Source organism: Homo sapiens, chromosome 18 (assembly GCF_000001405.40).
Source record: "Homo sapiens chromosome 18, GRCh38.p14 Primary Assembly".
In the NCBI taxonomy this organism is placed as follows: domain Eukaryota; kingdom Metazoa; phylum Chordata; class Mammalia; order Primates; family Hominidae; genus Homo; species Homo sapiens.
The window spans coordinates 71,557,519-71,583,534 of record NC_000018.10 but is presented as its reverse complement, the minus strand read 5'-3'; the positions used below and the strand labels follow the sequence as shown (position 1 = coordinate 71,583,534).

The window sequence follows — 26,016 nt, the reverse complement described above, 5'->3', positions numbered from 1 at the left end:
GTACAGAAATCTAGGGTTGAATAAACATTTTGGTTGGAGTTGTTAGCTGAGAATTGACTGAACACAAATGTAAAAGTCTAAGTGTTATGTTAAGAAACCATAAGTTGAATGACGACAACTCTTAACCGGAAAGGAATTCCCAGGCTGCTGCATTCCCATAGTCAAGAACAACTAAAACGCTGAGTAAGCTGGGTTGACTCCCAGAAAACATAGTCCTCCCAATATACAGCCCAGGTTTGAACCTTAAGGACAATGGACAAGAAAAATTCCCTTAAATGAAGAATTAAGAATTATGGATAACAAAGGAATTTGGAGATTTCGCCAGAAAGCAGAAGTTAAATAGATGTATTGGTCAAGAAAGCAAAGTGAAACCAAAAATACTCATACCTGTTCCATAGGAATCTTCATTCTTTTCTTCCATTAGGGATAGCTTCTAAACCCATGATACATGCTGTATGACAGGGGTTGAAATATTTAATATGTGGGCAAAACATGGCCTGTCTCCTCTGTTTGTAAATAAAGTTTTATTGGAACAGAATTGTACCCATTCATTCATTTATTGTGTATGGCTACTTTCATGCTTTCACTCGCAATAAGTGAGTGAATGGATATAGCAGTGTTCCATTAACTCTACAATGGCGGAGTTATTTTTGTAGTGGCAGACATGGCATTCTCCACAAGCCTGAAAATATTAACTACTGAGTCCTTTATAAAAAAAAAAAGCATGCTGAACTCTGCTATAGATCCATAAATTTTATATATTATTTTTCTTCTATTTTCTGAATGGAAGTTTCTGAATCATTATATCAGCAATTGCTGCAAAAACAATCCACATCAAATTTAGTGGCTTAATAATGATCTACTATTATTGTTCATTATTTTCCATTTCATTTGTTTTCTTCTATTACCAGAATTCACTCATGCATATACAGTCAAATGTGGGTTGGACAGCTGGATCTTTTTCTCTAAAAGATTAAGAATCAGCAATATTTATTCAAAGGACTAAACAGTAAATATCTTTGACTTTGTATGTCATGTATGGGTTCCTATTGCACATTCTTCTTTATTTTTTACCGACACTTTACAAATGTAAACTTAAATTGCCAACCCCTGTCCTAGGATGTACTCTTTCAAATATTTGGTGGGGGGCAGGGTGATCATCTGACTGTAGACAGTTCTGGCATGTTGACAGCTTGACAGCTAGGTCAACTGGATTCTCTTCTCTGTGATGTTTCCTCTTCCATAAGGTCATCTGGGCTTTTCAAGTCGCGGTTACAAGATAGATCAGAGATGTGCCTACTTTCTTGAGGCTCTGGGTTAGCATACAAAATGTCCAAAAGCCTGCAGTTTCCTTTTGGTCAAAGCAAGTTACATGGGCAGTACATTTTTGAGAGCTGAAGAAATAGACTCCAACTTTTGATAAAAGTAATTGCAAAAATTAGCTATAGAGAGAGTTTTTTTTTTTTTAAGTCGACTATTTTGGAACTTGTCAGAGTTTTCGTATTCTCTTTTCTCTGTGTTGGTTATCTAGTGGATACCTGTATCAAGATGTAATGAGAAAGACTTGAGCATAAACCAGAGTTCCTGAAATTGGACATAGATACACTAGAAAGATGAAGCTTTTCTCACATTCCAGATGAGTGAGTGCATTATCTACAGGTATAAGCTTTATTAATGAGAAAAAGGGAAGGAGTGGATGTTTAGCATGTACTGTAGTAGACTCTACACATTGAACCTGTTAATATTTGACACTCAAGTTTAAACCCCATCTCCTTCATTCCTTATCTTCAACACCAGCAGAGATTTCTTCAGCTATCCATCATTCTCTATGAAGCTGTACACTTACAGGAAAGCTGAACTTTACTCAATCCGTGGAAATTAGATACTGGCTGGTCTAAGCCTTTTAAGGTACTTGCACTGTTCCAGGTCATGATTTCTTAAGGTCAAGGCATACGGGACAATCCTGGTCAGTGAGACAGGTCTGCTGGTGTTTATGAAAGTGACTTTCCAACTGTTAAGATTAGGAAGGGAGACAGAAAGAGGGCAGTGGGTAATCTCTTATCTATTTGAATAGGATGCCTGAACCACTGTAACCATTTAGCCATCTTGTCAACTCAAGAAAATTTATACTGAGAACACTGCCAACAAAGGAGAGAAAAACATAGCTGAAAGACTAAAAATAATCTGAGTATTGTTATCATTGAGCTATGAAAATGAGTCAGTTCTGACCTCTACTATTCTGCCAGGATATAATAAGGCATTCTCTGATTCCTTAAGTAATTTTGTTGGCTTTCTAATACTTGCAGTCAAAAGCACTAACTCAAAGCAAAAATGCAGCAACAGCAACTCTTGGACTAGATGTAAAGAGACTCTAATATCTGAATACCGTACCTAAAACACGAGGAGGTGCATTAAAAGGGGTGGGATGTGGGATTACATCCCTTCCTGAGTTAACACTTGGGTAATGTGGATGAAGAGATACCAAGATGATACTAGAAATAATTCTAATTAATATTAACAATTCATACGTAAGTCTACGGCAGTCAATACTACACATACACACACACATATATGTTTCTGTTAAAGAGTTTTCATGGAAGGAAAAGGAAATAGCAAAGTCATGCATAAGTATGCTGCATGAAAGACCAGAGAGATGGACTTTCAAACAAAGTGCATCCTCCTTATCCTGACACACAAACTGCATGCAGGATTTCAGGAATAAGGAAGCTATTACAATTGAGACAAAATTTTGGTCAATGTCAGACGATTCAAAAATATAACTTGATAATGTATTCCAAAATGAGTAAGGGATCCTTAAATTGTCACTACGTAAGGTCAAGTTTAAAGTGAGGCTAAGATTCACGTGAAAATCAAGCATGCTGTTCTCGTAACACAGGAGAAATGCAAAATTTGGGCATCAAGAAGAGTCTTGAAGTGATTTCAGAAATAGATTACTTAATGGGAATAGCCCTTAAAAGCATGCTTGCTATGTGTACAGGTAAATGTACACATAGCATTTCCCAGGCTAAATAACCAACCTTTTAAAGACTAATACACAATGCAGGCATACCACCAATGTATCTGAAAGCCTTGTTGGTGTATTGTGACTCTGAAAACTATGAAAAGAGTGGCATTGAAAAAATCTCCATTATCTCAAACCCATCATATTACGTAGTTTTCAATATTTTTGGCAATTCGTATACTATGTAATTTTACTGGAATTTATATGTTGTCCAGTTTTCACACTAAACTGTAATTTGGATAAGAGTAGGAAGTCTATTTTCCATATAAGGAAAAGGAAGTATCAGGTTTCTAAAAAGGCTCATTACGAGTGTGTGTATTTCCCTATTATTTCCTAGGGAAGAAGGGAAATTACAACTTAATATAGCATTTATTCATTAAAAAATTAAATGATAGGAAAATAACAGAGTATTGAGTAATATTCCATCTGTTTTTTTTTTATTTTGGAAGAAACCAAATGTTACAAAAATATTTTATTATTTGCATTATACTTAACCCATAACATCCATTAAATTAATCTTCAAGATTACAAGTACATGACCTTTGAAAATTTACAACTCCCCGCCAGGCATGGTGGCTCAGCCAGTAATCCCAGAACTTTGGGAGGCAGAGACAGATGGATCACTTGTGATCAGGAGTTCCAGACCAGCTTGGCCAACGTGGTGAAACCCCGTCTCTACTAGAAGTATAAAAATTAGCCAGGTGTGGTGGTGGGCACCTGTAATCCTAGCTACTCAGGAGGCTGAGGTGGGAGGATCCCTTGAACTTCTGAGGCAGACGTTGCAGTGAGCCCAGATCCAGCATCTATACTCCAGCCTGGGTGACAGAGTGAGACTCCATTTCAAATAAAATAAAATAAAATTTATGATTCCCAATTATTGAATTATTTATTTTGACTAACCTCTCAGATAGCTAAAATCTTCAAGTAATATTTTGTTACTCTTGTTATCTCAGTACAGTACATCTGGACCCAGTGAATATTAGAACAATTAACCTATGTACACTTTCTTGTTTAAGATTTTGAAATTTACATTTCAGTATTTTCCCTTATTCCAATTCATAGATAACTTTTACAAAATTCTTATTATCTTTGTACTATAATTTTGTTTTCAAAAAGCCATGTGTATACTTTTCCCACTCATTTGCCTGGTATTCTGCAATTCTCTTCAGCTTGTATAACAAAGGAAATCAGTCTTTCCTTATATTTTTGTCAGTTGTTTTGTTTCCCCTACTGCGTATTGTTTTTCTTTAATAGGAATTATTAGTTGCATGGTCCTAGTACAGTCATGTGTGGTTGTGGAGGAAAAGTTAAATATTAAATCTGAACTCAATTGAACATGGACACAAACAATGATCACCAAGTCCCAGAACAGGTTGTGTGAGCCCCTTGAGGCGTTCATCCAGCTCTGTTTCAGAGAAATCTCTATTTCAATCTATTCCTATATGTTAGTTATTGAAAAACAATAGACAATCACAAAAACAAGTTGACCTATTTGTGTTCCTTGAGCCCAGTAGTGAAGGGCCCTCGTGACCGGGCCTCATGCACAACAACTTGTTACAGAAAGAGCCAGGATCCCAGACTGTGCTGAAGCTTCATGAGACCTCTCCTCGTCTGTGCACGAAAGAGGAGCCGGACACAGAGTGTCCAGCCGACTCTGGAGCCCAGGCTGTTGCTTCCCGGTCTGGTGGTGAGTCCTCCATTGTCTGGTAAGGAGGATGCACATATATATATATATATACACATACACACACACACACATATATTTCTCTTTTTTCTTATATATATTATATATATTTATATTTCTTATATATAATATATATTAATATTTCTTATATATAATATATATATTATATATATTTATATTTCTTATATATATAATATATATTACATATATTTATATTTCTTATATATAATATATATAATATATATTTATATTTCTTATTTATATTATATATATTTCTTATATATAATATATATATTTATATTTCTTACATATATATTTCTTATATATATTTATATTTCATATATATATATTCTTTTCTCTTACATATATATTTCTTTTTCTTCTTCCCTTCTCATTGCAATTTGCTTATTCTATCACTCTGCTGATTATATCAATTTTCTTATTATTATATCATTTGCTTATTATATCTGCATTGCCATTTACATGGGATAAAACTTGTTTACCCTTAAAGGTATTGTGTGTGTGTCTTTTCTTCTCCCCTCATGCGTTTCCCGCACAGAACAGTGGTGTTTAGCTGTATTAAGTAATATGAGTTCATGCTGATATCTTCAAATATAATCCTTTACTTTCTTCTTCTGCTTGTCTGTAACCTCCCACTATAAAAATAAATCTTGACTCCCACCTTCTGACATTCATTTACTTTATTTTTAAAATTTCAGCATGAATGTGCATGGTATCAGAATTAACACATATTCCTTCAGGAAACAACTTTACCTACTGGAGACGTTTCTATTTACAATTCCCTTTCCTTTCAGTCTTACGAACTCCATCGTTTTCCAAGTTATTTAGGTCAACAACTTCGCCCCCCACCTCTTACAAGGGGGGCATTTCATATACTGTAATAAAGTTTGATGGTTTTTACAGTTTGCATGTCATCCTGTGATTCTCCATCCTCTTAAATGTTTTTTCGTTTTGTTTTATTTTGTTTGTTTGTTTGTTTGGTGGTAGAGGACATTTATTCATGATGGTAACACATAATCTGCTGAAATTCATTTTGAACTTGCTTTTACAAATGTTTTTCTTTACATACCTTAAGATTCATTCTTTATAAGAATTTATGAAATCTTATCATTTGGGAAATAATAAAAATGAATATAATCTCTTGACTCCTCCTAATTATTGCTATATTAGAAATATACAATATAAATTGGTGCAAAATTGCGGTTTTGCCATTACTTTTAATTACTTTTAATGGCAAAATCACAATTACTTTTGCACCAACCTATAAAATCATACCTATTATTTGCCTCAATGTATCTATTATGAGATACAGTTATATATTTCATATAAATCAGTATACTTGAATATACTATAAAAATTAAGTTTAAAAAAGTTTTTTTTTTTTTTTTTTTTTTTTTTTTGAGATGGAGTCTCACTCTGTCTCTCAGACTGGAGTGCAGTGGCCTGATCTCGGCTCAGTAGCTGGGACTACAGGCGCCTACCACCACACCCGGCTAATTTTTTGTATTTGTAGTAGGACGGGGTTTCACCGTGTTAACCAGGATGGTCTCGATCTCCTGACCTCGTGATCTGCCCGCCTTGGCCTCCCAAAGTGCTGGGATTACAGGTGTGAGCCACTGCGCCCAGCCTAAGGAAGTTTTTTAAAGTAATATAAAATGTTTGCTCATGAGAAAGATGCTAAAAAAAATCCTTGGTTTACTTTTTGTTTTCTCTTGGGTATGAAAAATAAAAGCTCTCTTCTAAAAATTGAGTCAGGTACAGTGTATGATTTGCCATATTGTATGTGAATAAAGGATTCATAATTGATTTGGTATCAGCTAGGCACATCCTGGTGATTAGTAATGTCTCAAGAGAAAAAAATCATAGTGTAATAAAATTATTTTTTCTTTTAGTATAATGCAGATAAAATAATTAGCTAAGTATTATATTGATTAAGGTTAATCTGGTAAATTTGTAAATAAAAGTGATTATTTTGTACTGCCTTCTCTGTTCAAATAATGTATCAGATGCAAAATTGATCTTGGCATTCACATGCAGAGTTATTGGCATTATGTCATAGAGTAACACTGCCTTAAAAGATGAATCACAAACCATTTTACTGCCGTGTTTATTGATTATCCTTCAGATTATAAAGAGCTTGTAAGGTTAAAAAGCATTTAAAGATTTATTAGCAATATTGATCTACATTTTTGCAGTGTTGAAAGCAAACATAAATCCAGTTCCAGCAAAAGATACAGTAAACATTACTGTTCTAATACCAGAATTTAGCTATTTAAGGAATGTTTTCACAATGTATTAAGATGTATCGTTTGTTTACTTGTTAGATGTATAGATTAATTCTTATTTGATAATCAGAGTTCTCATGCCTTTGATGTTTAATTTATTGTCAATTTAGCTAAAAATACACATATCTCAATTGTACATCATAGAAAGCTTCTTTAGTTATAGGCATGTTTTTCTTAATTGAACTCAACTTCCCTAAAATATGGTATAGATCATCCTTTTTATTTTACATGAAACAAAAATCACCTTTATTATGTATTGTGTGCATGGATATACATGTTCATGTGTTGCATACTCATAGAAACACAAATGGCCACAATTTACAATTTTTAGTTAAATTGGTCCAGTGTGTTTTTCAGGCCATAAATGACAAAATAAAGATATAATTCATAGGAATATAAATAATCTTTAACAAAATGTATATAACATGCAATATTCCTAGATGATATATAGTATGCTATACTTGATTATGTACCAAAAGCATTTGATAAAGGATTTTTAAATTTTAGCTTATAATTTAGATACAGGGGGTACATGTATAGAATTGTAACATGGGCAAATTGGACCCAGGTAGTGAGCATAGTACTCTTCCTGGAGAACCTCTGCTAGAACAGTGTGTAAGGGAAATGTGGGGTCAGAGCCCTCACACAGCCCCCACTGGGGTACTGCCTAGTGGAGCTGTGAGATGAAGGCCACAGCCCTCCAGACCCCAGAATGCTAGATCCATTGACAGTTTGCACTGTGTGCCTGGAAAAGCCACAGACACACAATGCCAGCCTGTGAAGGCAGCTGGGAGGGGGAGTGTAACCTGCAAAGCCACAGGGGTGGAACTATCCAAGACCATGAGAGCCCACCACTTTGCATCAACACTGCTTGTATATGAGACACGGATTCAAAGAAGATTATTTAATAGCTTTAAGACTTAATGACTGCCCTGCTGGATTTTGGACTTTCAGGGGGCCTGTAGTCCCTTAGGTTTGGCCAATTTCTTTTATTTGGAATGGGAGCATTTATCCAGTGCCTGTATACCCATTGTATCTTGGAAGTAACTAATTTGCTTTTAATTTTGCAGGCCGATGTGGTTTGGCTGTGTGCCCACCAAAATCCCATCTTGAATTCCCATGTGTTGTGGGAGGGACCTGGTGGGAGGTAATTGAATCATGGGGGCAGGTCTTTCCCATGCTGTTCTTGTGATAGTGAATAAGTCTCATGAGAGCTGCTGGTATTATAAAGGGGAGTTTCCCTGCCCAATCTCTCTCTTTGCCTGCTGCCATCCATGTAAGACATGACTTGCTCCTCCTTGTCTTCTGCCATGACTGTGAGGCTTCCCCAGGCATGTGGAACTGTAAGTCCAATTAAACCTCTTTCTTTTGTAAATGGACCAGTCTCTGGGATGTCTATCTCAGCATGTGAAAACAGAATAATACACAGGCTCATAGGTAGAAGGGACTTGCCTTGTTTTAGATGAGACTTGTGACTTAGACCTTTGGGCTGGAATGAGTTAAGACTTTGGAGAACTGTTGGGAAGGCATAATTGTGTTTTGAAACATGAGGACATGAGATTTGGGAGGGGCTGGGGCAGAGTGATATGGTTTGGCTGTGTCCCTACCCCAAATCTCATCTTGAATTGTAATTCTCATAACCCCAGTGTGTCAAGGGAGGGATCCGGTGGGAGGTGATTGGATCATGGGAACAGTTTCCCTCATGCTGTTCTCATGATAGTGAGTGAGTTCTCACGAGTGCTGATGGTTTTATAAGGGGTCTTCCTCTTTTGCTCCTTGTTTCTCTCTCCTGCTGCCATGTGAAGAAGGTCCTTGCTTCCCCTTCGTCTTCCACTATGATTGTAAGTTTCCTGAGGCCTCCCAAGCCATGTAGAACTGTGAGTCAATTAAACCTCTTTTCTTTATAAATTACCCGGTCTCAGGTAGTATCTTTATAGCGATGTGAGAATGGACCAATACAGTACCCAACAGGTAGTTTTTCCACCCCCACCCCTCTTCCTAGCTCCATCCTTTAGTAGTTCGCAGTGTCTATTGTTTCCATATTTATGACCATATGTACTCAATGTTCACCTCCCACTTATAAGTGAGAACACGTGGTATTTGGTTTTCTGTTCCTTGCATTAATTTGCTTAGGATTATTTATAATAGCCACAAAGAAAATGAAATACCTAGGAATACTGGTAACAGAGGAGGTGAAAAATATCTACAAGGAAAACACTGCTGAAATAAATCAAAGATAACAGAAATAAATGGAAAAACATCACATGCTCATGGATTAGAAGAATTAATAATAAAATGGCCATTCTCCCCAAAGCAATTTACGTATTCAACATTATTTCTATCAAAACTACCAATGTCATTCTTCCATGAATTAGAAAAAACTAATATAAAATTCATGTGGAACAAAAAAGGAGCCTGAGTAGCCAATGAAATCATAAGCAAAAAGAACAAAGCTGGAGGCATCTCACTACTGGAATTCAAACTACACCATAAGGCTACAGTAACAAAAAGAGCATGGTACAAGTTCAAAAACAATGGAACAGAATAGAAAACTCAGAAATAAAGCTGCACACCTACAATGATCTGCCCTTTGACCAGGGCAACAAAACCAAGCAATGGGAAAATGACTCCCTATTCAATAAATGGTGCTGGGATAACTGTCTAGCCATTTGCAGAAGAATGAAGTTAGACCCTTATCTTTCACTATATACAAAAGTTAACTCAAAATGGATTAAAGATTAAATGTGAAACCTTAAGCTATATAAATTCTAGAAGAAAACCTCGAGATACCCTTCAAAACATCAATCTTGCAAAGTCATCTTTTAGAAAGTGCATAAACACACTCTTTCCACCTCTGTCTCTGTGGCTCTATCTTCTCTTTCCATCTATACCTGTATCTATCTATATGTTTCCAGTTCTCTCCATCTTATCTGAATCTCTGTACCTATATCATTATTTATTAAAATGCATTATTGGATATTTGTATCATATCACACGTGTACATATGCCGAGAACAGCTCAGCTGGGGAGACCCTAACCCAGGGGTGCTAGAGGAATTAAAAACACACACACAGAAATATAGAAGTGTGAAGTGGGAAATCAGGGGTCTCACAGCCTTTGGAGCTGAGAGCCAGAACAGAGATTTACCCACATATTTATTAACAGCAAACCAGTTATTAGCATTGTTTCTATAGATATTAAATTAACTAAAAGTATCCCTTATGGGAAACGAAGGGATGGGCCGAATTAAATGAATAGGTTGGGCTAGTTAACTGCAGTAGCAACACGCCCTTAAGGCATAAATCGTTCAAGCTATTGTTTGTGGCTTAATATTGCCTTTAAGCGGTTTTCCACCCTGGGCGGGCCAGGTGTTCCTTGCCCTCATTCCAGTAAACCCACAAACTTCCAGCTTGGGCGTTATGGCCATCATGAACATGTCACAGTGCTGCAGAGATGTTGTTTATGGCCAGTTTTGGGGCCAGTTTATGGCCAGATTTTCAGGGGCTTGCTCCCAAAATATATATATGCATGTAGGTACATGTCTGTGCATTTTAAAGAAATTTTCTGTTTAAAAACACATAATTTTACATGCTGCTAGAGTGGTATAGATTTTTAACATGGAATTTTAAATATATCTTTCTTATTTCCTAGCTTATATTTTCTACGTGATCTTTAAATGAGACCACAATTATTACTTTAAATTAGTAAGATGAGCAAAGAGATATGAAATAGTTGAAAAATTTTCCTATTTTTTTTGTTTAGGGATATAATTTTCAAAATATAATTTTTTCATAAACTGAAACATACATTAGTTTTCTGCAGGATGACTTTAAATGTCATCTTCTAATGCAAATATTTAAAATAAAATTTAACAAAGTGAATGCACTTTCCCAAACTCATAGGCTAATTTAAGAAGAAAATGATTAAGCAAACAAATACTTTGAGAACATTTGCACATTGTATACACTCGAGCGCAGGTGAGCACATCCTATAGGAAACATATGTCTCCATTATGTTCTAAACTTATTATGCAAAAGAAGCCTGTACGTATGTTTGTGGTTTTCATACTACTCAATTAATATCCTGCAATTTTAAACATTTGTCCATTTTTTCCACATACTCAATATAGTATTTTCCTCTTGGCCATGCATTATTTCTCATCTCTGTTTTAATATTATCTAATGATAATAAAAAAATTTTAAAAAGATCAAATATACACACATCTAGTGTATATATTTTTTAATTCCTAGAATTTAGTATATTAGACATGAGGTGTGATTATCTAATTTAAGTATGTCAGAAACCTGATTGGAATTTATCAAATGTACTCAATTCATGTATTTACCTATGCTAGAAATCTAAAGGCCATCTTATTTTTGAGACTACATTTTAAAAACAAATAATAATCATAAAATGAAAACCCCAAAAGGAATAAAATGTATGTAAGAGTCAATTTGAACAAGAATACATATTTGTATAAAATATGTGAAAACACCATTCTAAAATAATATGTTAACTTTAAATCTTAAATAACAGATTGATAAAATCAGATGTGGCTACTGGCAATATTTCTTTATCTCATATCCTTATTTTATATAGTCAATGGCACAACCTCATATGTAAGAGATACTTTGGAAGAATTACCTCCTTGAGGCAGCACTGTTAAGGGGCCTCACTGCAAAGAAGAATAAAGTGTAATGGGTTATTGTCCTGAGCTAGACACACACTGATACAAGTATTGGTTCCTATTAACAGCATGAGCCTAAGAAATCTAAGAATATTTGAGGCATAATTGTCATGCCTTTAAAATGTGAACATCAATGGTATCTATCACGACTACCAAAAGGGCTTAAATGGATTAAACAGGATTTTAAGTAAATGTTTATTAATGGGAATATACATAAACACAAATACACTTTATAGAATGTATTTATAATGCATAGAGAAAAACAGAGAGGGGTTATAGAAATATAGAGAATTTTATTTTATATAATATTAATACATTAGTTGTCTATCAAATATGTACATATAGCATATAGAACATGGAAAAATAGGCTACATAAAATTTAAAATGCATTTATAAACATATGCATATATAATACAAAATAAATACATGTACACACACAAATCTCAAGTTACTCATAATAACAAAATTTAGAGAATTTTGTGATGACTAAATAATTTCACAGATGAGTAAAATTGGTATTTTTTCTTACTATGACCATAAGTCTACATTATCCTGGTTTTAGTGAATAAAACAGTTTATATTAGTATGGGTTATATGTGAGGTGACTTTAGAAAGAAAGGCTACGAAAGATACAATAGTTGAAAGAACGCTAGGCGGTAGACTGTGATATACATCTGTGCAGTATGTCATAATTTGGTAATTCCTTTTTTAATTTCAAAGTCTTGTGATCTAAAATATGCAATTGTTTAATTTATACATATTAGGATTTTCATATCTACTATATACAGTATCAAAATTTTCCATTTCCTAAGATGTTCTGGATTTTTACTGTTTAAATATTTAATGTGGAATATATTGATTCCTCTTTTATATATTTTAAAGGTTTATCATTGTACAATTATCATCTTATATTTTGATTTTGTCACTTAGTACATTGTCATTCAATGTGTTTGTTAATATAGAGTTTTAACTATTTTAATGGTAACAAAATACATTCTGAAGTACCCTAATTCATTAAAACCCATTCATATCACTGGATTTTTAGAGCCATACAAGTTCCTTGTTTGGCTCTTATCAATAAAGTTTTAGTGAATATCTTTTGGCATGTAACATTTATTTCAGTTAATTTATAGCAGTAAGAGAAACCCCCAGCAGTTACATTCCTATGTAATATTTGTAGGCAACTTTATTATTTTTGACAATAATTCATTATTTTTCTATGCCAGTTAGTAAGGAGAAATAGAGTGCTTACAATAATCCTATTTCAATTTTCATTAAGATTTCAAATAACTGGGTTCTAACTTCTAGTTATCATGAGCCAGCTGTGACGATATAGATTTGTAGTACTGAGACATAGGAAGGACTAGACTAGAGAGGACCTCTAGTTCTGTACCTTCATTCAATCACCCAGCAATGCAAAATAATAAAGAATGATTAAAGATTTATTCCAGATGATCTATTAAACAATAGCAGAGCTGTGAGTAGAACTTGTTTTATGACTTCTAATATTCTTCTTTTTTCCTGTTAGGCACTTGAATCCTTTCCTTTGATTTATGTCACATACACAATAACACAAGATGTGTTAAAATTGACATAATTTTATCAATAAGAAAAAATCCCAACTTTTTAAATCAATGAAATCATCAGAATGATTTGGAAAATCTGACTCTAAAATTTAAAACATTGCAAATAACTTCGTATCATTTTCTTTTGTCAGTTCATGAAGTTGTGTATTTAATAACCTTCCTTCCCTGTTTCTCTAATGATCCAAACTTTAGAATGTACTCGAATAGGAGTAATTTTATAGGAATTAAATTATTTCATTTGTTCAAGTATGTGGATGGCATTTGCTTTTAACTTTAAATGCAGTGTCAACTTTTGTCTATGATAATATTATTAAAAGTGTTATGGGACCCTAGCAAAATTGAATAAACTGTAGCATCACTACATACCTTTGATATTGTGGTGCCTGTCCCATTCATTACTGACGAAAGTGTGTATAAATACACAAACACACACGCACATATATTCTAAGGGTAATTTTTTTTTACTACAATACATTATTTAAAGTAAATATTTGTAAAAAAATAAAGTGATTTTAGAAATTACACATTTTTAAATTTATTTTGCTATTATAAACATTTTAATTCTCTTACTTCTATAAACATCATGTTTTTATTTTTATGTTCAGAAAAATGTTAGAAAAGCATCACCCTCTTATTATTTTCCTAAAACATCCAGTGTCATTACTAAAAATTTAGTATAGTGTATTGATTAATGAAATTAATACTGTGGAAATAACATGAGAAAATATTTTCTAATCATTTTTTTTCCTAGCATGATTCAGGTCAAAGGGTGATTTTCTATTATCATTTCCACTGTCTGAATTCTCACTAGGAAACTACAAAAAAAGTCCACATTCATTATTAAATTGCTATTTTTCTTTTTTTCATAAAAAATAGTTCAATGTTATTTTCCCTTAATACACCAATACCCAAAGGTAGTGCCATTTGAAAGCCAGAATTTTTATTTGATCTCAAAGCTGTTTTAATTTTTGTGAGATTAGATATGCAGTTGAAAAACACACAATCACAAGTAAACAAACATTCAACACATAATTTTATATAGTAAACAGCAAGCTTAAATAATTTTTGCTTATGGAAAAAAGAAAAGTTTACATTACACAAATTATAAATAGTGTGAAAATGTGAAATACAAGTCTATTACTCCATAAAATATTTTAACACTGCATTTACGTGCAAGATTTGAAGGTGCTGCACCCACAACTCCTACCTGCCTTCCATTCACCATCAGTTCACCCAAATGCTGGCTCCAAGTAACTTAACACATCTGAGGTTTAGATATTTTTCTATCATCTGGAATTGAGATATTTGTATCTATTTTTGGATGTATTTTGCATTCTGTATGTGTGTGTATGTATGCATTCATATGCATGTAAACATACCTATGTATTATATATTATTATACATAACAAATATAATATATACATGTAATAATATATATTATATGTAACATATATATTATATATGTAACATATATATGTAACATATATATTATATGTTACATATATAATATATATTATATATGTAACATATAATATATAACATATATAATATATATTATTTAATGCAATAATACATAGTATATATTATTTAATTCATATAGAATTATATAACATATATAATAACATATATTATTTAATTTATATATATTAACATATATATTATTATGCATGTTATAACATATATATTATACATGTTATAACATATATATTATTATGCATGTTATAACATATATATTATTATACATGTTATAACATATATTATTATACATGTTATAACATATATATTATTATACATGTTATAACATATATATTATTATACATGTTATAACATATATATTATACATGTTATAACATATATATTATTATACATGTTATAACATATATATTATTATACATATATATTATATATGTATATTATATATACATATATGTTATAACATATATTATATGAATATATAATATATATATATTCATATATATTATAACATATATATTATTTAATTCAATAACTTATACTTTGCTCATACATAAACACTGGTTCCCCACTTTACCTTATTATTTATAATAGGATTCATCTGTGTAATCTTTGAAGTTTTCCTTTTTTTGTTTGTTTCTTTGTTTTTGGTGAAGAAAGGTAGGCCAAGTTGGTTCAGTATCACTTGTGAAGAAATAATTCATTCAGTTTCACAAAGCTGCCTCTCAGTGACTTACACTGTGCCTAGCACTAAATAGTTGTATCACATCATGTACACCATTTGCAGTTTTCTTCATATTATTCCCTGAACACCAATCCAGTACATATTGCTATAACATTATTGGAGACAGAATTTCATGACAATAAACTCTCTAATTTAATAGATTTATGTTTGTACCTTAGCTATTCCACTTATGAGGTGGAAACCTTGAACTTTTTTTTTAAGTTATCAAATCCCCATTTTTTTCATTCGTGAAGTGAGAATAATACCTACTTCACAGACATGTTTTAGTATAATAATTAATTGATGTCTATGAAATACATAACAGTGTCTTTAAATATTAACTAATACATGTGAGCTATTGATATGGATTGCTATTGTGTGCATATTCAATTGCTGAAATTGTTATGAATACAATATTAACATGTATCCTAACTTTAAAACATACAATATTAAACAGAAGGAAGGAATACATAAAATATATATAGATGTTGGAGTCCCTCATTTTTTTTTTTCTTTTTGAGACGGAGTCTCACTCTGTGGCCAGGCTGGAGTGCAGTGGAGCAATCTCGGCTCACTGCAACCTCCGTGGAGTCCCTCATTTTTATAGTAATATATGGAAGACATGTTTTAGATATAACTCTTGTTCTACATGTAACAAATTGTGCTAGATATGTAACAAGTAAAAAACAAAGTAGGTAGAATCATGACCAAAAACTATTGCTCTCCTATCTCTGGGCAAAAGACAAATGAAAAATATACATTGTTTGTCACATTAGCTCTTTTAGGGCATGTGTACTCATCAAGCTTTTTGTTTTGCTTCTGTTTGGAATATATAGTCCTCATATTATTTTTATTAAACAGGCCAGCCCCAGTGGTTTCAATAAAAAACAAACATCTCTATTAGGTAATTTATAGTTGTTCTTTCGTCATGTTCGGTAAGAAAAGCTGTATAAGGACAAAAACACAGTCATACGAATGCCAAGGGTAGTTGTTTCACACATTTGCAGTACCTTATCTACTTACTTATTTTAAGTACAACAGGGTCTCGCTCTGTTGCCAGTCTGGAGTGCAGTGACACGATCTCGGCTCACTGCAACCTCCGCCTCCTGGGTTCAAGGGATTCCCCTGCCTCAAAACTCCCAAGTAGCAAGTAGCTGGGACTACAGGTGCACGCCACCACGTCTGGCTATCTACTTATTGTTAAGGACTTTAAATAAAAAACTCCATATTTCTATTAAACATGGGAATATTCTAACCATGAATAAATGATGTTCATCATCTACATTCACATAACAAATATTTGACATATAGAAAAATGTAAAAAAATTCCAAATTATCTAAATTCAACCGCAAAAGGAACAAAGAAAATATTTCCAATTTTAATGTAAGTATATACCCAACAGAAAAATGAAATATTACTTAAGCACAATCATAACACATCAGCTGAAAGAATTATAAATGAAAAGAGACATCCAGCTAGTCAGAAACCAGTACGTAAAGAAAAGAAATACTAACATTTTAAGATCATTTCAAAGATACTATACTGTATAAGATCACTACTTTTTTAAACTCTGAAAATAGTCCCTCCAACTGACATTTTTTGTATCTTGTAAAAGGTCAGATAAATGTCATTTCATGTTTCAGAACTAAGTTCAGACTACTCGTATCAAAAGATGATTTCATTACTTCCCATGTATGCAGTGCTCACACTCCTTTGCTCCTTCTAAACATGCTTTACCCTTTAGGTCCTTCCTATCAAACAGACTTCCAACTCTTCTTCTCGACACAGATTTATTAAACTCTTCTTTTCTTAGCTTTTATAGCTCTTCGACTGTGATTTTCCTTAAGTAATTTTAATGTTTTCTTCTCTAATCCCTTCTCCCACACTTCTTTTCACTCTTTCTCTTTAAACATAGTTACATCTAAAAGATACAGCTGTATTTGGTATTCATCACTCTCTAGCAATTTCCTTATAGTAAATCCTACAGATTATCTCCTTTAGAACAAGTTAGGGAGATTTCGGCACTTGTAGATTGCCTAGGCTTCACCCAGATCTACCTGATCCAAAAGCCTGAAGCTGTAGCACAGATTCTAACATACAATCAGTGATTCTTATGTACCCCATAGATTGAAAATTACTGCTATATACACTCACCACCTTGGTAAAAACATTTAATTACGTAATATGTTGAATTGCCTCTATGAGCATATCTCTAAAATTTAATCCAGACTCTTGACCTTATTTCTAAACTCTTGTCCCATATTTTCAAGTGCCTGTGAGGTATCATTACATTTAACCTTGCCAATAATCCCTGATATGGTTTGGTTCTATGTCCCCCACCCAAATCTCGTGTTGAATTGTAGCCTTCAGTGTTTGAGGAGGGGACTGGCAGGAGGTGACTGGATCATAGGGGTTGACTTCCCCCTTGTTGTTCTCCTGATAGTGAGTTAGTTCTCAGGAGACCCCATTGTTTCAAAGTTTGTAGCACTTCTCCCTTTGCTCTCTCTCTCCTGCTCCACAATGTGAAAACATGCTTGCTTCCCCTTCACCTTCCACCGTGATTGTAAGTTCCCTGAGGCCTCCCCAGCCAACCTACCTGTACAGCCTGCCAAACCATGAGCCAATTAAATCTCTTTTTTAAAAATAAATCACACAGTCTCAGGTAGTTCCTTCTATCAATGCAAGAAGGGACTAATACAATTCTGTAATATTAAATATACTCAAATCAATTTCCTCATTAGATATTACCATAGAATGAACATTTATTTTATTTCTCATCAATATAGATATATTCTTAATGAATGTAGCTGTCATTATTTGATGACTAGACAGAGACCAGTGAGTTGAGTTTGCCACAATATTGTCATCGACAAGAATGAGATTTGAGTTTTATGATTATAGTGTGTTCCCATTTGCTTTCATCTAAATGAAAAATTCATTTACTTTTAATCTTCAAAATGTACAGACACTGGACTTCTCCAGATTTCTAATATTCCTTAATTAACTAGAGCTCCTAGAGTTTTTGAGTATCTAGGGTGTGCATTTGTGTGTATATGAGTGCATGTGAAATTTCCATTTGATGGATGAAATTGGACGCTTTCTATACTCATAAAATGGTAACTTTTTTTAAAACAATGTCTTATTTAAATTAATTTATTGGTCACTAAAAGAAAAAAATCTTTACATGTTGTTGTGTTTTGAATTTCCTGAATATCATACTCAAGCAACAAATATTGTATATTAAATTGCCACTTGCCTCAGGACGCAGTGTTAGATTCACACATTCCTGCATATTTTCTGTTAAATTTGCAGTGAGTCCAACATTTTTATAAACCCTAACTTCATGTAATGGTTTGATAGATAAAAGAGTTATTTAAATTACCATAACTGAGGATGAATGTACTTTGAACATCACTATCAAAATGTTATAAACAGATGTGACATTTATCTGCCCATTGTATAAAAGAGAAGAATTTAAATATAAGAAAATTTAGCATGCTAAAATAACATCCTAAAAATTGTGTGATAAAAAACAACCTTTCAACATTTTCATGATATATAAGACAAATTTTAATGTTCCATTGTAAGGTCATTACACTTGAAATGTATCAGAATTCAAAAGACAGTGCATATACTTCTCTTTTCCAGTGTATCATATTTTGATGAATACTTTACTTTAAAATTAATTAGGAGGGAGAAAATTGTGTCTCCTTTTACTGTCCTTCAAGTCATTCAGTAAGATCCTCCATAAAGCATGAAAATTGTGCACTATTTCCATGCACAAATTATGCACAGACAATAAAGTTATTGCTTGGTCTGCAGTAAGATTATGTAGAAAATGATGGATGCACTATAAAGGAATTTACCTTGTTTTTTTCATGCAATCATATGTCTCTCTAGTGTATATAAAATCATGTAAATGTCTTAAAGTCTTTGTTATCTAAAGGATTTCTGCACTGAAGTAAGGATTAAGTACAAAATATACATCTATTTCATTAAATTGTTGCCACATTCCATGGAAAAACAATAATATATCTGTAATTACAAAATGCCTATCTTACATGTTGGATTATCACATTTGGCCCAGTAACTTCATAAATATTAGTATACAGTATTTTAATTAATTCCATTTAAAGAAAGACAGCCAGTGATAATTCAGTATGCCTAAGAAGGAGATATATATATTCTATATTCATTTCTAATATACATAGAAAAAGAGATCTTGCTTAGGATCTGTTGATAAAATTAAAAGCTTAATAAAAGAGAATAAATAAGGGAAAATCCCATTCATGGAGTTCCTGAAAGGAATGAATAAATTACAATTTCCATTTGAAACCAAATTCTGTTTCATAAGATTCCAAGTAACTGTCTTCTGATGATTTGATTACTATATTCTTAATCTGATGGTTTCTTTTTAAAAAAGAATGAAATAAAAAGCATATATATTTGAGGTATACAATGTGATGTTTTGATACACATATATGGTTAAATGATTAATATAGTAAAACTAATTAGCCTATCCATTACCTTATATAGTTATCATTTATTTCTTTGGTGCAGTGAGAATACTTCAGGTCTACTCACATAGCTAATTTTAGGCATACAAAACAGCATTATTAACTATAGTTACCCTGCTGTACATTGGATCACTAGAATTTACATAGACAAAGTTTTGTCTCCTTTTATAAACATCTTTTTATTTCCCCCAAATCGTGGCACCTGGTAACTATAATTTGATTCTCTGCTTCTATGAATTTGCAGATTTAGTTTTATTTAGTTGTATTTTATTTTATTTTATTCTATTTGAGACAGAGTCGCACTCACACTGTCACCCAGGCTGGAGTGCAGTGGCAGAATCTCTGCTCACTGCAACCTCTTCTTCCTGGGTTCAAGTGATTCTCCTGCCTCAGCCTCCTGAGTAGCTGGTATTACAGACATGCACCACCACCCCTGGATAATTTTTGTACTTTTTGTGGACGTGGAGTTTCATCATATTGGCCAAGCTGGTCTTGAACCCCTGACCTCAAGTGATCTGCCTACCCTGGCCTCCCAAAGAGCTGGGATTACAGACATGAGCCACCATGCCTGGCCTGGAGTTTTTAGATTCCAAGTGTAAGTGAGATCATGCAGTATTTTCCTTTGTGTCTGGCTTATTTCACTTAACATATCATCCTTAAGGTTCATCCACATTGTCAAAAATGTCAGGATTTCCTTATATTTTAAGGCTTAGTAGTATTCCACCATGTATATGCATATAGTGACATATGTGTAATATCATATAAGTTATCTATCACTTTTTAATCCATTTATACATTAAATAACACAGGCTACTATAAATAATGCTTTAATGAACATAGAAGTACATATATCTATTGGAGACACTGATTTCATTTCTTGGGATATACACCTAGAAGTGGAATTGTTGGATCATATCGTAGTTCTATTTTTAATTTTTTCAGTAACCTCATTACATTTTTCCATAATGGCTGTACCAATTTACATTTCCATCAACAATGTACAAGGGTCTCCTTTGCTCCACATCTTGCCAACACTTGTTAACTCTTATCTTTTTCATAATAGCCATTCTAACAGGTGTGAGATGGTATGTGACTGTGGTTTTGATTTGAATTTCTCTGAAGATAGTGATGTTCAGGATGCTTTCATATACCTGTCGGTTATTTGTAAGTCTCCCTTTAAGAAATATCTATTCAAGTTTCTTAACCGATTTTTTTTTTTGAGACAATGTCTCACTCTGTCGCCAAGTTGGAGTACAGTGGCGTGATCTCAGCTCACTGCAACTTACGCCTCCTGGGTTCAAGCGATTCTCCTGCCTCAGCTTCCTGAGTAGCCAGGACTATAGGCACACGCCACCACGCCCAGCTAATTTTTGTATTTTTAGTAGGGATGAGGTTTCACTGTGTTGGCCAGGATGGTCTCGATCTCTTGACCTCGTGATCCGCTCGTCTTGGCCTCCCAAAGTGCTGGGATTACAGGCATGAGCCAGGGTGCCTGGCCCTTTTGACCAGTTTTTAATTAGATTATTTATTTATACTATTGAGTTGTCTTATATATTTGGAGATCAATTTCTTATTAGATGCATGATTTGCAAGTATGTTTTCTCCATGTTTAGATTGCCTTTTTATTTTGTTGATTGTTCCCTTTGCTGTGCAGAAGCTTTTTAGTCTGACGTAGTCCTACTTATTTTTGCCTTTTTGCCTGTGTGTTTGGTGTTATAACCAAAAGATTATTGCCAAGCTGAATGTCAAGGAGATTTTCATCTATCTTCTAGGAGTGTCAGATCTTATGTTCAATCTTTAATACATTTTGAGTTTTTCTGTGTATTGCTTAAGGGTCCAATTTTATTCTTTTATGTGAATATTGAGTTTCTCATGGTCACTTATTGGACAAACTACCCCTTCTCCATTGGATATTGTTGGTACCTTTGTCAAAATTTAGTTGACTGTATACGTGTGAATTTATTTCTAGTATTCTTTTCTATTTCATTTGTCTATGTGCCTGTGATTATGTCAGTGTCATACTGTTTTTATTACTATGTCTTTGTAATGTAATTTGAAATAAGGAAGTATTACATATTCAATTTAGTTCTACTTGCTCAAGATTATTTTGGCTATTCGGTGTCATTTAGGGTTCAATAAAAATTTTAAGATTCTTTTTTCTATTTCTATGAAAAATGCCATTGGAATTTTGAAAGACATAATATTGGATCTGTAAAAAACTTTGGGTAGTATGGATGTTTTAATACATTAATTTTTATAATCCATGAATGTGGGATTTTAAAAATTTATTTGTGTCATCTTTAATGTTTTCCGTCAATGTTTTATAGTTTCTGGTGGACAATCTTTCACTTCCTTCATTAAATTTCAATCTAAGTATTTATTCTTTTTGATGCTCTTGTAAATGAGATTGATTTCTTGGTTTCATTTTTGAATTTTTTTTTGTTTGTATTAAAAAACCATACAAACATTGACTTTGTATCCTACATCTTTACTTAGATCATTTATTAGCTCTAACAGTTTCTTTCTTAAGAGAGTTTTTATGGTTTTCTACATAAAGGATCAGGTAATCTGCAAACAGAGATAATTTTACTTTCTTTTCCTGTTTGAATCTTTTTTTTTCTTTTTCTTGTGTGATTGCTCTGGCTAGGACTGCCAGTACTATGCTGAATAAAGTGGCGAGAGTGGGCATCCTTGCCCTTTCCTGGATATTAGAGAAAAAGCTTTCAGTTTTTCCACTTTGATTGGGATGGTAGCTGCATGTTTTTCATATGTGGTCTTTTTGTGTTTAGGTAAGTTCCTTCTGTACCTAAGTGGCTAAGAGTTTTTATCATGAATGGGTGTTAAACTTTGTCAAATGTATTTTCTGATTCTATTGAGATGATCGTGTGGATTTCCCATTTTTTTTCTGTTGAGGCAGTAAATCACATTGACTGAATTGTTTATGTTGAACCAACCTTGCATCCTAGGAATAAATTCCACTGGGTCATTGTGTGTAATATTTTTGATGTGGTATTTGCTAGTATTTTATTAACAATGTTTGCATCTATATCTATACTTTTTTCTTGTGGTGTTTTGCCTAGCTTTGGTATTAAGGTGGTGCTAGCCTCATAAAATTGAGTTTAGAACTATTTCCTTTTTTTATTTTTCTGAAAGGGTTAAAGAAAGATTGGTATTCATTTGCTTTTGAGTTTTGATAGAATTTGCCTGTAGAGCCAACTGGTCCTGGGATTTTCTATGTTGGGAGGTTATGGATTACTGGCTCAATCTCCTGATTTTTATTTGTTTGTTCAGGCTATTTCTTGTCAATTTGGTTTTGATAAGTTCTATATCTCTAGAAATTTATACATTCTCTCAGGTTATTCATTTTTTTTTTACTATACAATTGTTGATAAAAATCCCTCTTGATCCTTTACATTTCTGAGGCGTTAGTTATAACGTCTCTTCTTTCATTTCTCAAATTTTGTCATTTGAGTCTCCTTTTTCTGTTAGTCTACTTCAGGATTTGTCAATTTTACACATTTTTCTTAAAAAAACCAACTGCTATACTTAAGGAAATATTTATTTATTTATTATATATGTATGAATAAACTAGGACTTTGGTGTAAGAAATTTTGGTAAGACTGGCAATGAAGAACTGAATTGGCATCCCAACATCAAACTCTAAACGTACCAAAGCACTATAAGTCAGATGGTTTTTCTCTTCAAAAAGTCGTCATATCCATCCAATAGGAGATTATGGCAGGCTGAATTATACCCTTCTCCCAAAAGTGTCCATGTCCTAAATCTCTGGAATATGTTGCTTTATATGAAAAAATAAGGTTTAAGTATGTAATTAATGATTTCAGATTGGGAGATTATCTTGAATCTATGGTGGGCCTAATGTATCCACAAGAGTGTTTTAAGAAGGAAGGAACAGTGATGATGAAATCAGGAGCCATGGTCAGAGAGAGAGAGAGAGAGAGAGAGAGAAAGGGAGAGGAAGAGAGATTTGAAGGTTTTTTATGTAGTTGGCTTGAAGATGGAGCAAGGAACCAAAAGCCTGGGAACGCAGGAGGTCTCTAGAACCTGGAAAAGAATTGGAGCCTTCAGAGTGAATGCAGACTGCAGACACATTGGGGTAAGCTTAGGGTTACCCACACCAAACTTCTAACCTCTAGAACTGTAAAATAATAAATCTATGTTGTTTTAAACCATTAAATTTATGATAATTTATTATAACAGCCAGAAGTAACTAATAGAGTTATAAACCTTTTTTTTTCTCTCAATAGGACACCATCTCCTGAAATATGAAATTTGGTATAAAATAGAATGGTTCAACTTCTTTATTAATTTAATTTACATCAAACATATATTCCCTGAAAACATGAAATGAGTTTTTTTCTCATCATTTCTGTTAATTGTTTTTTGCCACTGCTTATAAGATACTCGCTTCTATATGAAAATGTAGAGACTAACATTATCACTAGTACTTTCTTATTGGTTTAATTTTAATATATTCTTGATCTCTGATACATTATACATGCCCCTAAGATAGCCCCCATTTTTAAATATAGAGAAATAGTGTTTTATAGTCACAAGATAAATGTGTCCTCTGTCATAGTATATACTTTGAAATATAACTCAATTCCTATATCAAGTGAATTATTACTCTGGTAACATAGCATCTGGTAATTATGGCCTAATGAAAAAGCACTGGCTAAAGAATTTAGAAGACTCCGTTATTCATTTTGATTCTGAGTGATAATAACTACTTAATCTTTGAATATTCACTTGAGTTTTAAGCATCTCCATTTCCTCATCTGTAACATTACAAACCTAGACATGTTCTGTACGATACTTCACGACTTAAACGTTTATAATACGGAAAAGCAATCTGAAAATATCTTGAACGAGCTACCGCGCTCTTATCTTTTTTTTTTCTTTTTTTTTTCCTGAATAGAGTGCACTAGATTTATACAAGGGTGACTGTGAAACATTTAGCTATTGGCCTACTAACTCAGTGCAAATGAATAGCAAGAAAACTCTCATACCATTTTTTATAGACTTCATTCCTAACACTTTTTGTAACTTAATGACCATTGATGCTTTCTTTGCATAATGTTTCTATTATTATCTCTCCAATGTTAGCATTATATAACAATTATTTGGAATAACTGTCAAAAAACGAAGAAAAGCAAAACAAAACAAACTTTGTTTTGGATTTAATCCCCTACTGTGTTTCTCACATCAGTGCATGTGCTCTAAAATTCCTGCTCTCCAGAGCTGGAAGAGGTGTCCTGGGGATAAGATGAATTACCAACAGGCTCTAGTTAAGCAGTAGGTAATATATCTGTTTAGACGCACAGCACATATGAAGACAAATGTGAGGTTCAGACACAAAACCTCCAGTTTTGACATCAGTGTGTGATAATCTCCCAGTTTCCCAGATCCATAGTACGTGCTTAAAGCTTATGGTTAATCACTATGATCTTCAGCTTCCTCACTTAAATAAAAGTAATATTCCAATACTGACAATATAACAAATTGAGGCAATTTAAGTGGTGTCTATCATTTATATTTTCCCATCACCTCTCCTCTACCTCTTAAATAAAAATAAAATCACATTCCACCAATCCCACAGGACAGTATGTGGCCAAGGTAGGCCAAAAATAATACTTAGCCTTCTAGCTATGCCAGATGATCCAGGAGCAGGTATGCTCACACTAAGAAAACCAATCAGGAAGCATACCCACGCCTTCTGTGGTGGGACTAAGATCCCACTTTATAACTCATTGACAGGGATCAGAGGAGCCACTTCAAAGCGTTGGTTACATGTTCATTGATACAATGATAGGAGAGAATAAAGTCAGCACCGTGACTAAAGCAAAAATACATGACGAGAAATAAAAATTTACCCAAGCGTCTTGCCTAAAACAATACGTATGAGAGAATCCTTTGAAAATTGTAATGCATTATGCAACCTATAACACCATTTTGTGTTTTCTCAAGCCCTTGTTCTAAAGGATTTAGTTCTCTC

At 33.2% G+C, this 26,016-nt stretch overlaps 2 long non-coding RNA genes across 3 annotated transcripts in view; one reads left to right on the top strand and one right to left on the bottom strand.

Moving 5' to 3' along the window:
• Positions 1 to 26,016, bottom strand: part of LOC107985179 (uncharacterized) — a 191,915-nt gene that overhangs the window by 40,465 nt on the left and 125,434 nt on the right. The window lies entirely within an intron of this gene.
• Positions 4,579 to 26,016, top strand: part of LINC01541 (long intergenic non-protein coding RNA 1541) — a 58,993-nt gene continuing 37,555 nt past the window's right edge. For both annotated transcript variants that reach the window (NR_038326.1, NR_038325.1), the window contains exon 1: positions 4,579 to 4,728. This is a non-coding gene — a long non-coding RNA (long intergenic non-protein coding RNA 1541). The remainder of the gene's footprint in view (positions 4,729 to 26,016) is intronic.